The sequence below is a fragment of the Homo sapiens genome, chromosome 4 (assembly GCF_000001405.40).
Source record: "Homo sapiens chromosome 4, GRCh38.p14 Primary Assembly".
Lineage (NCBI taxonomy): Eukaryota > Metazoa > Chordata > Mammalia > Primates > Hominidae > Homo > Homo sapiens.
Window position 1 is genome coordinate 109,566,122 of NC_000004.12, and position 17,283 is coordinate 109,583,404.

A 17,283-nucleotide genomic window follows, 5' to 3' on the forward strand; every position below is an offset into this window, starting at 1 on the left:
CTGGGATTACAGGCGTGAGCCACTGTGCCCAGCCAAATTTCAATTTCTTTTGAAAGGAAAAACAGTGGCCGGGCACAGTGGCTCACGCCTGTAATTCCAGCACTTTGGGAGGCCAAGGTGGGCAGATCACGAGGTGAGGAGATCGAGACTATCCTGGCTAACACGGTGAAACCCCGTCTCTACTAAAAATACAAAAAAATAAGCCGGGCTTGGTGGCGGGCGCCTGTAGTCCCAGCTACTCGGGAGGCTGAGGCAGGAGAATGACATGAACCCGGGAGGCAGAGCTTGTAGTGAGCCGAGATCGCGCCACTGCACTCTAGCCTAGGCAACAGAGTGAGACTCTGTCTCAAAAAAAAAAAAATAAATAAATAAATAAAGGAAAAACAGTTATTACAACCACTAAGTAAAACTACCACTCTGTTGACTGCCTAAGATCATAAAAGAGAATTTTTCAATCATTAAGACCATTCTGACATTGACAATATTTTGTTCAATGGTGTATTTATATTCCCCTGGTAAAACAACAAAATGGCAATTTTAGGGATGAAAAGGACTTTTAAGACCAATTAGACGAATCTCCTTGTTTTGAGAAGGGGACAAAACAGGCCCAAATAGACTGAATGACTTCAGCTAAGTTCACAGAGCTAAGTGGTGGTAGGGCCAGGTTGGCAGGCATTCACGTGTCGCATTGCTAGCTTAACACCAACCAAATTAGTTGCTCATTTCTATTCATGACCCAAACGCATTTAGTTTATATAGCAGATGTTAGTTAGATTAATCAATATTTAAGACCAGCCTGACCAATATGGTGAAACCCCATCTCTACTAAAAAATACAGAAAATTAGCTGGGTGTCGTGGCAGGCACCTATAATCCCAGCTACTTGTAAGGCTGAGCCAGGAGAATTGGTTGAAGAGTAGATGTCTTTTTTGAGACGCGAGGCAGAGGTTGCAGTGAGCCGAGATCGCATCATTGCACTCCAGCCTGGGCGACAGAGCGAGACTCCATCTCAAAAAAAAAAAAAAAAAAAAAAGTGCTGTGGACACAGGTGGTATTATATTCAACTGCATATATAACTTTTTATAATGAATGCACTGCCCAAATCACATTTCTGGAACCTAAAGATGAATTTGCTTATTTTCAACCTCTTGGGCGTAACAGTAAATAATGAATGCCCTGATCCTGTGCTGAGGAAGGAAGACTTATCTATTTGATAAGTCCTTCTTGTTTTTTCTGACTCTGCATGGTACTGTATGTGTTCCTGTGGGGCATGTACAGTACATACATGTTATGTACAAACATAGTATGTTTTCTTTTGTTAAACATTTTGTTTGTTTTTGGAGATCGAGACCATCTTGGCCAACATGGTGAAACCAAACCTGGTCTCTACTAAAATACAAAAAATTAGCCAGACATGGTGGCACGTGCCTGTAATCCCACCACCAAGGCTGGCTAATTTTTTGTATTTTAGTAGAGACCGAGTTTGGTTTCACCATGTTGACCAAGACGGTCTCGATCTCCAAAAACAAACAAAGTGTTTGTTTCCTAGTGGCTGAATGGGATATTTGAACAGGGGCTTTTTATTTTATTTATTTTGAGATGGAGTCTTGCTCTGTCACCCAGGCTGTAGTGCAGTGGCACGATCTCAGCTCACTGCAACCTCCACCTCCCGGGTTCAAGCAATTCTCCTGTCTCAGCCTCCCAAGTAGCTGGGACTACAGCCGCCCGCCACCATGCCTGGCTAATTTTTGTATTTTTAGTAGAGACAGGGTTTCACTATATTGGTCAGGCTGGTCTTGAACTGCTGACCTCAGGTGATCCACCCGCCTCGGCCTCCCAAAGTGCTGGGATTACAGGTGTGGGCCACCGCTCCTGGCCTGAACAGGGGATTTAAAAAGTTATTGATGAATAACTTCTTTCTAGAGACTGACTGTAATGTGACCATAAACCTGGGGGGGAAAAATTATTTTAGAGAGTGTTTTGCAAAGAGACATCATTGGCCCTCTAAGCCCTTGCTAGAGAATATTTGTTAAGACATTTTGTAGTCTAATACTCATTTCTGTAACTCGGCTTCGGGAATGTTTTAGAAGATAGAATTGGTATAATAAACCGGTTTTCACTTTTCAAGAGAAAATATAGTTCCTTTGGACCTTGTAAATACCCTTTTATGGGTTTGTTATTATTGAAACAAAGGTAAGCAGGTAAGCAAGCCTTAAAACATAAACTGCAGTTGAACCAGAGCCATGGCCTCATCCCTCCAGTTCCATCTTCTGCTCTATCTCTTCCGTATCCCCGCTCTAGCGTGGCTGAGCTAATTCCTCTTCTTCTTGTGGCTTGTCATGTATTTTCACCCCTCGTTGCTGATGTTTATGGTGTTCCCCAGGCGGTAGTGCCTCTCTCCCTTTACCCCGCTTCTTCACCCTCCTGACTTCTACTCTTTTTTCAAGGCTGAGTTTCAATAGCCACCCCCCATCTCCCCACAGACCCCTCTTCAGTTTTCGTGAGGTCTCTTCAGATCTCTGAAGGCAGATTCCATTATACTTTGTTTTTCAGCCCCACAATACTTACAGAACTTACATCATTCGACCATACATTATAGTTAGTTGTGCTTGTAAGACTTTCCCACCTGGATTCTCAGCAATCTGTGGTCGGAACTGTTTCTTCTCCATCTGTGATCCCCTCTGCCCTGGCACAGTAGGTACATAACAAATGAATGAATGGATAGATGACAAAGAACAAAATAGTATATAAAGTTCCTTAATGGTGTGTTCTGTTCAGGTTTTATCTTCGCAATTTCCTCTTCTCCACTTAATCTAGGGGGAAAACCTGAAGCATTCTTGTCTACTTGTTGAATAATTGAAGATTTTTTAAAAGTTAACAAAAAGAACCTTTATACATATTACATTTTCTATTAAAAGTGAACAGTAGTCTTTTTTTTCTTTTTGAGACAGAGTCTGGCTCTGTCACCCAGGCTGGAGTGCAGTGACACGATCTTGGCTCACTGCAAGCTCCGCCTCCCGGGTTCACGCCATTCTCCTGCCTCAGCCTCCCGAGTAGCTGGGACTACAGGTGCCTGCCACCACGCCCGGCCAATTTTTTATATTTTTAGTAGAGACGGGGTTTCACCATGTTAGCCAGGATGGTCTCAATCTCCTGACCTTGTGATCCGCCCGTCTCGGCCTCCCAAAGTGCTGAGATTACAGGCGTTAGCCACTGCGCCTGGCCATGAATAGTAGTCTTAAATCATATTTTGATTAATTGTTTTATTTCAGATATACTTTCATATCAGGATTTTTAAAGGGCATAATTAACAAAATTTAACAAAATATAAATTCTGGAAGGACTGCCTGGCATATAAGTATTTTCTTGGCTATCCCTTTTTTTTTTTTTTTTTTTTTTTTGAGATGGAGTCTCACTCTGTTGCCCAGGCTGGAGTGCAGTGGTGCGATTTTGGCTTACTGCACCCTCTGCCTCCCGGGTTCAAACGATTCTCCTGCCTCAGCCTCCCAAGTAGCTGGGATTACAGGTGCCTGCCACCACACCTGGCTAATTTTTGTATTTTAGTAGAGATGGTGTTTCCCCATGTTGGCCAGGCTGGTCTCGAACCCCTGACCTCAGGTGATTGGCCTGCCTCGGCCTCCCAAAGTGCTGGGATTACAGGTGTGAGCCACCGCTCCTGGCCAGGTCTCTGTGTTACAGCAGCTCTGCCTGTGCCTTATCTTGTTCCAGTGGCTGACCAGCCAACCAAAAGTTTCTAAATAGATTGAGACATTGTGAGATGAATGCTGTTGGAGGCTGTCAGGAAGCAATATAAAGAAGTTCCGAGAATGGTAATCCATGGTTAAACCTGAAATAGAAGAGGGCATGTAATGCATGTTATAGAGCATAACATTTTGTCTCATGCTCTCTTGGCCTGCCACTCACCCATACTATTTCTGGTTAAAAATCCATCTTTGACATCACTACTTCCATAAATAGAGCCTTTCCTGATTACCTAGATGAAAATCATCTTTCTTTCATCTATCTCCATATAGTGTTTATTTTACTGCTCATTTGGTACTTCTGTACTCCCTTGTATTAGGGCTTTTTTATGTATTGAGCTTACCACCATGCCTGCATCCCCCCATGTACCTTCTCTTTCTCTGTACATTGTAATCTCGAAGATCAGGTGCTGTATCTTTTATATCTTTGGGAATGTATATCTTTGTATTTCTTATTCTGCTAGTACAGGTACTTGTCCTAGTGTTAAATGAATGAGGTATAAGGAGATAGCTGTCATTGTCTTTATGAGAAATTATGTTGGTCTATGTCAGAGATTGGTAAACTTTTCCTGTAAAGGTCCAAATAGTAAACATTTTCACTGTTGGTGGCCTTTGGCCTCTGTCCAAACTACTCAACTTTGCCATTGTAGTGCAAAAGCAGCCATAAATAGTACCTAAATGAATAAGCATGGTTGTGTTCCAATAAACTTTATTTTCAGAAATGGCCACAGACAAGATTTGGCCCATAGGCTGTAGTTTTGGCCAGCTTCTGGTCTGTAGACTCAATATCAAGATTTTGGAAGTACTAATACAGATGTTATGCTAGAGGACTAATTTAGATGTAGCAATACCGTATATGTATAGTGGGATGAGATAAGTACGTTAATAAGGACCAATTACGAAGTCATGGTTATTGTACATGGAGCTGGAATAACAGGAATGGATACAATGGAAAAACAGGAGGAATGTAAAGATGTGTAGAGATTTCAGCAGTTTTCTGTGTTAGCCTTATAACTAACCATGAGGCCACAATGCCTGGCAAGTATGAGAGAAGGAAGAGAATGGGAATGCTAGGACTAAGATGTATAATGAATTCCTGTCTGAAGTCAAGGGAAGAATCAGAGTCAGTAGTGAGTTGCATTTCCTATGAGAGAAGTGACATGATGGATGAAAAGGAAAAGGCTTGGCTAAGGAACATTCAAGGCAGTGCATTGGCACAGGTGTTTATTCCAATAGGTTTATTTCTCTTTAGAATCATTAAACCATGGGTATCTTTCATCTAGCCCAACATTAGAACTTAGTGTGTGTATGTTTTTCCTTCTTTTTCCTTCCCCAAACTGTTTTTTTAAGAAACGAATTTTATATATCTTTCTGGTTCAGAGTAAGCTGTGCTGCTGAAACAAAAAAACCTAATGATTAAACTTTATTTATTTATTTATTTATTTATTTGAGACTGAGTCTCACTCTGTCACCCAGGCTGGGGTGCAGTGGTGCGATCTTGGCTCACTGCAACCTCCGCCTCCCAGGTTCAAGCAAGTCTTCTGTCTCAGCCTCCTGAGTAGCTGGGACTATAGGCACACGCCATCCTGCCCAGCTAATTTTTGTATTTTTAGTAGAGATGGGGTTTCACCATATTGGTCGCCCTGGTCTCCAGCTCCTGACCTCAGGTGATCCACCCTCCTCGGCCTCCCAAAGTGCAGGGATTACAGGCATGAGCCACCGTGCCAGGCTATTGTTAAAGCCAGTTTTTTCCCTCTTAGGAAATGGTTCTGTGATGAGCTCTACAGGTCAAGCAGTAGCTCTGCTCCACACAGTCATTCAGGGAGCTAAGCTGACCTGTTCCTTTGTCATCTCTACATGTGACTTCCAAAGTCAAAAGTGCACAGAGGATGTTTCAGTTTTGCAAGATGTTATGGCCTAGGCCTGGAGTGTTACATATCTTGTGTGTGTGTTCCATTGAATATTTTATTGAATATGTCACATGGTCACATTTAGCTTCAAGAAGGCTGAGATATGTAGTCCTGGCCAGGAACCACATTCTAGCTAAAAGTTGATTACTGTGGGAAGAGGAAGAATGGATTCTAGCAGATGTTTAGCTACATCTGCCACAGTCCCCTTGTCCAGAAACGGGGTAGTTTTGTTTTGGGGGTCACTGAATTTCCAAGACACTATTGAGCCTCACTTATAAGTGTTCCTCAGCAATAGATATTTACAAGGAAACTTTATTTCTCTCTGAAAAACTTAAAAAGTAATTTGAGCTAGAACAGGAACATTTGACACCTTATTGGGTTCATTATAAGCCGCCCTCCAGGCGTATCATAATAGAAAAGGATATAGTCTTGTACACTTACACACTAAGGAAGAGAGAGAAATACATTATAATGGTTAAATTAGAATTTGAGGCCAGAACTGAAGTTTATGCAATAACATCTGATAAGGAAGAAAATAAATATAGCTGAGAAAAGATGCTGACGATATGGTTTTAGGGAGGACTTACTTTAGAGGAATTCTGGTGATTAATAGCTAAATGAGCAATAATAGTTATTAAAAGTATTATGCATATCTGGTACATTAATTTAGTAGCATTTTATAGACAAGCTTGTTATAAATATGTTCTAAAAACTGGAAATCTTAGATATTTAGGATAGTTGAAAGATGTTAACTAACTGTATCTCAGAATAAAACGTGTCTTAGTATATAATATCATAACTGACACTAATTCACTCTAGTTCAGGGTATATTTAGAAAGAGATTAATAACTATATTAGCATGACTTCATATAATGAAGTCATGTTATTTACTTAATTACGTCACTTATATACTTGGTTTTTTAATTTGTCAGATTTGGATGTCACTATTGATCAGTTTCAAATGCATAACTTTGAGATATTAGATATATTTTCAATGGCTTTTCATACTACTACAATATAATTATTGCTTTATATAATGAAATGGCTAGATTGCCATAGCTACATTATATATTTCTTGAACTAGTCACTCTTGTGTATTGTCTGTGGAATATTAGTAAGGCTTCAATTAATGAGTTGTCCAAAGTGCTATTTATAATATGTACATATATGTAGTATTGGAAGTATTTAATATTATTATTACTGATATAAACATATTATAAACTGTACCTGTGCCCAGCAATGTCAAAACATAAAATATCATTGTAGGTCCTGTGGAATTGTCTTTTTCTGGAGTCTTATTATTCTCATCCTACACTGCACCAGACTAATCTGCACTTAGTAAGCACATATTAACCATTGCTTTAAGAATATTAGGAACAGATTGGGCACGGTGGCTCACGCCTGTAATCCCAGCACTTTGGGAGGCCGAGGTGGGCAGATCATGTGGTCAGGAGATAGGGACCATCCTGGCTAACACTGTGAAACCCCATCTCTACTAAAAATACAAAAAAATTAGCCACGCGTGGTGGTGGGCACCTGTAGTCCCCACTACTCGGGAGGCTGCGGCAGCAGAACCGCGTAAACCTGGGAGGTGGAGCTTGCAATGAGCGGAGATCGCGCCACCACACTCCAGCCTGAGCGACAGAGTGAGACTCCATCTCAAAAAAAAAAAAAAAGGAAGAGTGGTAGAAACAAAACCGATTTAGCAATGCTAGGAAAAGGTTGTTTCTCTTAATGGGGGAGAAAAGTATGTATAGGATGAGGGAGTCCTGGCTTGGTAGTTGTGTACAAAGGATCTGGAAGTTTCCGTTGATCCACTCATGAATGATGGATTCTAGAAGCTAGTATGGCTCCTAACTAATTGAAGAGAAATGCAGCATCTGATTACAGCAAGAAACAGTTCCATTTCATTACATTGGGATTGTCACATTGATTGTCAGACTGAGTCAAGGGCATTGTGTTTTGTTACTGGGGCAGTACTTTACAAAGAACACTAACAAAGCTGGACAGGGAGGTGCATTCAGAAGATGATTAAGATGGTGAGAGTTCTTGTAGGAGATGATTAAAAGGGTTGAATTTTTTTTTTTTTTTTTTTTTTTGAGACAGAGTTTCGCTCTGTTGCTCAGGCTGGATTGCAGTGGCGCAATCTCGGCTCACTGCAGCCTCCACTTCCCAGGTTCAAGCTATTCTCCTGCCTCAGCCTCCCAAGAAGCTAGGATTACAGGCGCGCCACCACCATGCCCGGCTAATTTTTGCGTTTTTAGTACAATCAGAGTTTTACCGTGTTGGCCAGACTGGTGTTGAACTCCTGGCTCTGCCTCCCAAAGTGCCAGGATTATAGGTGTCAGCCACTGTGCCCGACTGGGGCTGCATATTTTTAATCTAGTGAAAAAGAAGCTGAGGAAAAGCAAGATATTTGCATTCAAATATCTGAGATGGTATCATGTGAAAGAAGGTTGTCATTCTGTGTTGCTTCCAAGCAAGGAAATTACTCCCAAGATAGAGCAGAATAGGTAGGCAGAGTTCAGCTCAGTTCAAGAAAATTTTTGTATCCATTCTGGCTGTTCCCTAATAGACTGCTTCTTGAAGTGTAGGACTCCCAAGTTTCTAAAATAACTCAGGCAGAAGCTAAAGAAGCACTGGAAAAACTGCCAACACAGCTAGAGCCTGGTGCTGGAGAAGCCATCTATATCTATGCAATAGGAGCCTGTGAAGTGAACACACCCGAACCAGGAAGCAAAATCTTTTCCTCCGTCAGTGGCTCTCTAGTGTCCTCTACTGAAAAAACTTCAGTGCCAGTCAGCAAAGGAAAAATATTTAAAGGTCCCAGATCTATTTTCACAGAGCAGTCAAAAAGGGAGAATTTGAGGGCATATACAAGACGTTAATAACCATCATATGAGGAATGAGACAGCAGCTGTTGTGCAGTACTTGAAGGTGGCAGCTGCACTCATGAGCACTGCCACGCTGGTCAGGCCAAGGAGGGATGGGAGACAGAGCCGGACTGGTCAAGCACTGATAACGAAGTGCTCATTTTAAATACAGTGTTAGTGCCTAGAATAGAAATCAGGGAAGCAGCACTTGTTCCAGGGACAGAGAATCCAACCCAGAGATGGATTGGGTAAGACAGAGATCCAAAAAAAGTATGAGACTTAACAATTGCATGAGAAGTTAGACTGAGTAGAAAGAAAGATGGGTAGATTATTGAGAAGCCAAAAAGTTAGCTTAAATAGGAGCATTTGAGACCCAGGGCTGCCGCAGGTCAGAATGGAAGCTGAGGTGATCTTAATCTCTACGCTTCCTTTCATCGCTGATGTTCTCTGAGGTCCCTTGGGTACCCAGCTTTGATATCTATCACAATGTCAGAAACCACTGAGGTTTGGAGATTGATAAACTCAGATGCCTTGCTAAAATTAGCCTACTGCTGTTCATCCCTTGTTCTGCCCGCTCCTTACCATCTGCCTTCCCCACCAAGGAAAAGCTTTGGCTTATTTATAGTGTAATAACTATTTAGTGAGAGTAATTTTGTTTTAGCTTTTTATTGATATGATATTATTAATCTTTCTGTAAAAGGTCATTGGGGGTTAGACTGTTTGTTGTGAGGTTTTGCCTGAAACCAACTCAAGTGTACTACTCATAACTGTTGTTCATTTGAGCTTAAGCTTGGCTGCTGTACTGACAGGTTATAGTCCATCTTGACATATGAAATTCACTTTATAACGAATCCAGCCACATTCGTTTAATTAGTTTATTCAATTTAGTGGGATTGTGCTGCCATTTAATTAGTGGAGTCTGAATTTGTGCCAGTGACTAAGCATCGTAATCAACAGTTGTTATGCCTGCAATTATGTGAAAACTGACACCAAAGTCTAACCTCTCTTGGAGAGAAAATATACCACCTTAATGTATCTTTCACACTAAATTAGGATGAAATATCTTTATAGTTATCCCATTTATGTAAGGCTATTAGACATTAGAAAAAGGTCATTTCATAAGTATAGCAGTGACCATTAAAATTATTAATATTATAATAGCATAGTAATATTCTTGGTTTTGAAACTTTAGAACAGCTTTGTAGTCTGTGCTAGTCACACTGCTTTCCTGGGAACCTTTTCACTCTTATCTACCTGGTTTAGTCGAATTGGCCATCTTAGTCCAACCTGACCTTCATTCAATTGGCCACCTGACCCAGGAATTTAGAACTAAGTCTAGGATTCTCACCTCTGCTGGCTGCTCTTTTGAATAGTGGAGTTGTACTTGGGGCCATTTGGTGGTGACCATTTTCTACCATGTGGACCAAGAAGCAGTAACAATTCATTTTATAGTGATAAGCAGAATGATGCTGACAGGCAGATAGGAGGAGACGAAATACGGATCAAGAGGACTTCCCAACCTCAATATAACACTCCAGTTCCTGATCCTGAGTCCATTCCTGAGGCTTAATTAAATCCTTCTATGTAGTCTCCGTTAGAGACATTCCTAAGTCCTCAGAGTAAATTTCCATTCTTACTTATGGTAAGTCAAGTAGGTATTTGTTTCTTTCATCCAAATAACAAATATATATGAAGTGATCATTCAAACTTATCAGAAAAACATTAAGAAATGGGTAAAAGACATGAGTGGTTTTCAGAACAGGGAATAAAAATGCAAATAAACATGAAAAGTGGTCAGCCTCACTGATAGTCAAAAAAATGCAAAAACAATAGTAGAAAAAGATAACATTTGCCTTTTTTTTTTTTTTTTTGCCTGTCAAATTGCCAAAGAAAAACAAAAAACTCAAAGCGTAAAGCATGGCATGATGTGGGAACTCTTTTGTGTTGCTAGTGAGAGTGTAAAGTGATTGTATAATTCATGGTCCAACAGGAAACAGATGGCCCACTTAGATTAGGATAATTAGAGGGAAGTTTATACACAAAGGATGATTCACAGAGATGTGGGCGCAGGGGAACCACTAGGGATGGTGTACTAACCTTGGACTACTATTGATGGGCAAGATGAAGGGGTTGTGGACAACAACCCTGTGTCAAGGGCCAAGCCAGATACTCAGAAATTCTTTCTTTTCTTTCTTGTTTTTTTTTGAGATGGAGTCTCACTTTGTTGCCCAGGCTGGAGTGCAGTGGCGCAATCTCGCCTCACTGCAGCCTCTGCCTCCCAGGTTCAAGTGATCCTCCCACCTCAGCCTCCTGAGTAGATGGGATTACAAGCATGTGCCACCACGCCCAGCTAATTTTTGTATTTTTAGTAGAGCCAGGGTTTCGCCATGTGGGCCAGGCTGGTCTTGAACTTCTTACCTCAAGTGATCTGCCTGCCTCCGCCTCCCAAAGTGCTGGGATTACAGGCGTGAGCCACCACACCTGGGCAGAAATTATTTCTTTATGGTTCCTTTAATCATGAACTTTCTAATATTATTAAAACTGAAATGGAAAAATCCTCAGTCCAGGTTAAAACTTCAGGTGCTTTATTCAATCATTTTTAATGACAGAGCTAATTTTTTCCAAGTAAATCCTGTGCAGTTTTTAATACCAGCAGCTTTTGAAGTCAGCACTCCTTTTGTTTCATTAATAATACATGTAAAACGATAGCTAATGCTTAGCATGTGCCATACACTATCATGAGCTTTGTCTCACTCAGTCCCCCTCACTTCTGGGAGTCCTGGGAAATAGGTACTGATATTACCCTGTATTTATTGATCAACTGATAAAGCAACTAAGGCTCAGACCCAGCCTGTCACCTGACTTAATTGAAGTAGAGCTTTGAATATTGCTAAAACTTGATCGTTTCATAGCCTAAAATGGGTACTTGAATTCTTTTTTTTTTTTTTTTTTTTTTTTTTTTTGAGATGGAGTCTCGCTCTGTCGCCCAGACTGGAGTGCAGTGGCGCGATCTCGGCTCACTGCAGGCTCCGCCCCCCGGGGTTCACGCCATTCTCCTGCCTCAGCCTCCCGAGTAGCTGGGACTACAGGCGCCCGCCACCTCGCCCGGCTAATTTTTTGTATTTTTAGTAGAGACGGGGTTTCACCATGTTGGTCAGGATGGTCTCGATCTCCTGACCTCGTGATCCGCCCGCCTCGGCCTCCCAAAGTGCTGGGATTACAGGTGTGAGCCACCGCGCCCGGCCGGGTACTTGAATTCTTTAAGACCTATGAGATTAAATATTAAAAGGGACCACAAAAGTGACCTAGCCACATCAGTTTTATGTGGAAAACTTCAATTAATTAAAAGAGAGTTTGATTCTTTGCATAGTCAGATGTCAAATATGACTTCAAATAATCCAAGAATATTGGGCAAGGAACTTCAAAAGAGTTTGGCTCAGTATCGTATCTGTAGCAAAATTAGAGTTTAGTACATAGCTATCTCTTTTGTTGCTTAAAACCAATCTCTCTCTCTTCCCCCCACACACAAAAAATCCAGTATCTTAAATTTTAAAGTTATCCTCCTAAGTGCTCATAAACCAATATATGGGAATATAGTTCTTGAAATCTGAATGGCTGGTTGATGTATGAAAATTTGATAACTCATTAAAAATAACTTGTTACAAAATATTTTCTGTATGTACAATCTCATATAATTTCTACATGGCCTTGTCATACATCTTATATAGATGGGAAAATTGAGGCCCAGAAAGGTTAAGTAAATGTTTCACACAGTTAGTAGGTAGTCGAGCCAGGACTTAAATCCAGGTCTTCATAATGAATCTCATACTTTTTTTTTTTTTGAAACAGATTTACTCTGTTACCCAGGCTAGAGTCCAGAGATGCTATCTATCATAGCTTACTTAGCTTACTGCAGCCTCAACCTCCTGGGCCCAAGCAGTCCTTCTGCCTCAGTCTCCCAGATAGCTGGGACTACAGGTGTGCACCACCATGCCTGGCCAATTTTTCTTTTTTTAAATTTTTTGTAGAGACAAGGTCTCACTGTGTTCACACGCTGGTCTCGAACTCCTGGCGCAAGTGCTTCTCCTGCCTCGGCCTCCCAAAGAATCTCATGCTTTCAAAAAATGACATTGCCCTATTTTTCTCCTCTCTCTTTTTTGAAGCACAGAAATAGACATGGGCAAACTGAAGATGAACCCTATGAAGGAAATCCCCTTAATTCCTGGAGAACAAAAATGAACAAGTCACAAGAAAAATCAGCTTGCTCTTTGAAAGTATCGGGACTTTTATATTCTACTTTCCTTCTGTTTACATAACCATATCCTGTTCATTGGAGTCCCGCCTCCAATATTCCTTCACACTTGCTTCCGCTGCCTTCATTGTCACTGATACACTATACAGGGCATTGGTTTTTCCCATGATTTGTTACTTCTGTTAGACTAGACATTCTCTGAGGTCAGGGACCATGTGTGATACTTCTGTTTTGTACTTTAAAATGCATGGTTGTGGATTTGAAACTCAGAAGTGTATGGGTTGATTTCTTTTTCCTCCATAGCATATTTGAGTTGTTGAGACTCTGATTAAACCTCACTTTTTTTTTTTTTGAGACGGAGTCTCGCTCTGTCACCAGGCTGGAGTGCAGTGGCGTGATCTCAGTTCACTGCAACCTCCTGCTCCTGGGTTCAAGCGATTCTCCTGCCTCAGCCTCCTGAGTAGCTGGGACTACAGGCGCATGCCACCACGCCCAGCTAATTTTTGTATTTTTAGTAGAGACGGGGTTTCAACATGTTGGCCAAGATGGTCTCAATCTCTTGACCTTGTGATCCACGCGCCTCGGCCTCCCAAAGTGTAAACCTCACATTTAAAGCAAAGCAGGACCACCACATAGCATTAGGCAGGTTTTGCACTTAATCTAGGGTGCTACATGTAAGACGTGGCATTTGCATTGTGGATAGGTAAATTTATTATGTTTTTCTGGCAAATGACCATGAATGTATCGAGGAAGGGAAGCCAACTTTTAAATTCACTAAAGGCACCTAAGGATCAGTGCAAAAATCCTGACCACTGCCATGTAGAAAAGAGCTGTGTGTTATTGCCAACTTTAAATTTATCCAGAGAATGAGTCAAAATAAAAATGATATTTAAAGTCTGACTGAAAATAGCAATTATATTAGAGAAGAAATAATGAACCAAATCCCCAAAAATGAACATAAAACTTTTTATTATTTTTTTATTATACTTTAAGTTCTAGGGTACATGTGCACAACGTGCAGTTTGTTACATAGGTATTCATGTGCCATGTTGGTTTGCTACACCCATTAACTCGTCATTTACATTAGGTATTTCTAATGCTATCCCTCCCCTTGCCCCCCACCCCACAACAGGCCCCAAGGTGTGGTGTTCCCCGCCCTGTTTCCACGTGTTCTCATTGTTCAGTTCCCAATTGTGAGTGAGAACATGCGGTGTTTGGTTTTCTGTCCTTGCAATAGTTTGCTCGGAGTGATGGTTTCCAGCTGCATCCATGTCCCTGCAAAGGACATGAACTCATCCTTTTTTATGGCTGCATAGTATTCCATGGTGTATATGTGCCACATTTTCTTAATCCAGTCTATCATTGATGGACATTTGGGTTGGTTCCAAGTCTTTGCTATGGTGAATAGTGCCACAATAAACATACGTGTGCATGTGTCTGTATAGTAGCATGATTTGTAATCCTTTGGGTATATACCCAGTAATGGGATGGCTGGGTCAAATGGTATTTCTAGTTCTAGATCCCTGAGGATTTGCCACACTGTCTTCCACAATGGTTGAACTAGTTTACACTCCCAACAACAGTGTAAAAGCGTTCCTATTTCTCCACATCCTTTCCAGCATCTGTTGTTTCCTGACTTTTTAATGATTGCCATTCTAACTGGTGTGAGATGGCATCTCATTGTGGTTTTGATTTGCATTTCTCTGATGGCCAGTGATGATGAGCATTTTTTCATGTGTCTGTTGGCTGCATAAATGTCTTCTTTTGAGAAGTGTCTGTTCATATCCTTCGCCCACTTTTTGATGGGATTGTTTTTTTCCTGTGCATTTGCTTAAGTTCTTTGTAGATTCTGGATATTAGCCCTTTGTCAGATGGGTACATTGTAAAAATTTTCTCCCAGTCTGTAGGTTGTCTGTTCACTCTGATGGTAGTTTCTTTTGCTGTGCAGAAGCTCTTTAGTTTAATTAGATCCCATTTGTCCGAACATTCCATGCTCATGGGTAGGAAGAATCAATATCGTGAAAATGGCCATACTGCCCAAGGTAATTTATAGATTCAATGCCATCCCCATCAATCTACCAATGACTTTCTTCAAAGAATTGGAAAAAAGTACTTTAAAGTTCATATGGAACCAAAAAAGAGTCCACATTGCCAAGTCAATCCTAAGCGAAAAGAACAAAGCTGGAGGCATCATGCGACCTGACTTCAAACTATGCTACAAGGCTACAGTAACCAAAACAGCATGGTACTGGTACCAAAACAGAGATATATAGACCAATGGAACAGAACAGAGCCCTCAGAAATAATGCCGCATAACTACAACTATCTGTTCTTTGACAAACCTGACAAAAACAAGCAATGGGGAAAGGATTCCCTATTTAATAAATGGTGCTGGGAAAACTGGCTAGCCATATGTAGAAAGCTGAAACTGGATCCCTTCCTTACACCTTATAGAAAAATTAATTCAAGATGGATTAAAGACTTAAACGTTAGACCTAAAACCATAAAAACCCTAGAAGAAAACCTAGGCAATACCATTCAGAACATAGGCATGGGCAAGGACTTCATGTCTAAAACACCACAGGCAATGGCAACAAAAGCCAAAATTGACAAATGGGATCTAATTAAACTAAAGAGCTTCTGCACAGCAAAAGAAACCACCATCAGAGTGAACAGGCAACCTACAGAATGGGAGAAAATTTTCGCAACCTACTTATCTGACGAAGGGCTAATATCCAGAATCTACAATGAACTCAAACAAATTTACAAGAAAAAAACAACCCCATCAAAAAGTGGGTGAAGGATATGAACAGACACTTCTCAAAAGAAGACATTTATGCAGCCAAAAAACACATGAAAAAATGCTTATCATCACTGGCCATCAGAGAAATGGAAATCAAAACCACAGTGAGATACCATCTCACACCAGTTAGAATGGTGATCATTAAAAAGTCAGGAAACAACAGGTGCTGGAAAGGATGTGGAGAAATAGGAACACTTTTACACTGTTGGTGGGACTGTAAACTAGTTCAACCATCGTGGAAGTCAGTGTGGCGATTCCTCAGGGATCTAGAACTAGAAATACCATTTGACCCAGCCATCCCATTGCTGGGTATATACCCAAAGGATTATAAATCATGCTGCTATAAAGACACATGCACACATGTTTATTGAGGCACTATTCACCATAGCAAAGACTTGGAACCAACCCAAATGTCCATCAATGATAGACCGGATTAAGAAAATGTGGCACATATACACCATGGAATACTATGCAGCCATAAAAAAGGATGAGTTCATGTCCTTTGTAGGGACATGGATGAAGCTGGAAACCATCATTCTCAGCAAACTATTGCAAGGACAAAAAACCAAACACCGCATGTTCTCACTCATAGGTGGGAATTGAACAATGAGAACACATGGACACAGGAAGGGGAACATCACACTCTGGGGCCTGTTGTGGGGTGGGGGGAGGGGGGAGGGATAGCATTAGGAGATATACCTAATGTAAATGATGAGTAAAGGGTGCAGCACACCAACATGGCACATGTATACATATGTAACAAACCTGCACGTGGGGCACATGTACCCTAAAACTTAAAGTATAATAATAATAAAATTTAAAAAAAAAATCACAGTTTAACAAAAAAAAAAAAAAAATCCCATTTGTCAATTCTTGGCTTTTGTTGCCATTGCTTTTGGTGTTTTAGTCATGAAGTCCTTGTCCATGCCTGTGTCATGAATCGTATTGCATAGGTTTTCTTCTAGGGTTTTTATGGTTTTAGGTCTAACATGTAAGTCTTTAATCCATCTCGAATTAATTTTTATGTAAGGTGTAAGGAAGGGATCCAGTTTCAGCTTTCTACATATAGCTAGCCAGTTTTCCCAGACCATTTATTAAAAAGGGAATCCTTTCCCTATTTCTTGTTTTTGTCAGGTTTGTCAAAGATCAGATGGTTGTTGATGTGTTACTTCTGAGGACTTTGTTCTGTTCCATGGGTCTATGTATCTGTTTTGGTACCAGTGCCATGCTGTTTTGGTTACTGTAGCCTTGTAGTATAGTTTGAAGTCAGGTCGCATGATGCCTCCAGCTTTTTTCTTTTTGCTTAGGATTGTCTTGGCAATGTGGACTCTTTTTTGGTTCCATATGAACTTTAAAGTAGTTTTTTCCAATTCTGTGAAGAAAGTCATTGATAGCTTGATGGGTATGGCATTGAATCTATAAATTACCTTGGGCGGTACGGCCATTTTCATGATACTGATTCTTCCTATCCATGGGCATGGAATATTCTTCCATTTGTTTGTGTCCTCTTTTATTTTGTTGAGCCGTGGTTTGTAGTTGTCCTTGAAGAGGTCCTTCACATCCCATGTAAGTTGGATTCCTAGGTACTTTATTCTCTTTGAAGCAATTGTGAATGGGAGTTCACTCATGATTTGGCTCTGTGTGTCTGTTCTTGGTGTATAGGAATGCTGGTGATTTTTGCACAT

The 17,283-nt window shown here is 40.8% G+C and overlaps 1 protein-coding gene across 2 annotated transcripts in view, besides 1 other annotated feature; it reads left to right on the plus strand.

Moving 5' to 3' along the window:
- The window catches only part of MCUB (mitochondrial calcium uniporter dominant negative subunit beta), a 128,474-nt gene that overhangs the window by 5,876 nt on the left and 105,315 nt on the right, over positions 1–17,283 (plus strand). The gene's annotated exons all lie outside the window — the stretch shown is intronic.
- Positions 136–353: a silencer, noted in NCBI's record as "fragment chr4:110487413-110487630 (GRCh37/hg19 assembly coordinates)". NCBI's record gives its function as "represses an EF-1alpha promoter that drives an FKBP-Casp9 reporter gene in an ReSE screen in K562 erythroleukemia cells {active_cell/tissue: K562}" and the evidence as "EXISTENCE:reporter gene assay evidence [ECO:0000049][PMID:32094911]".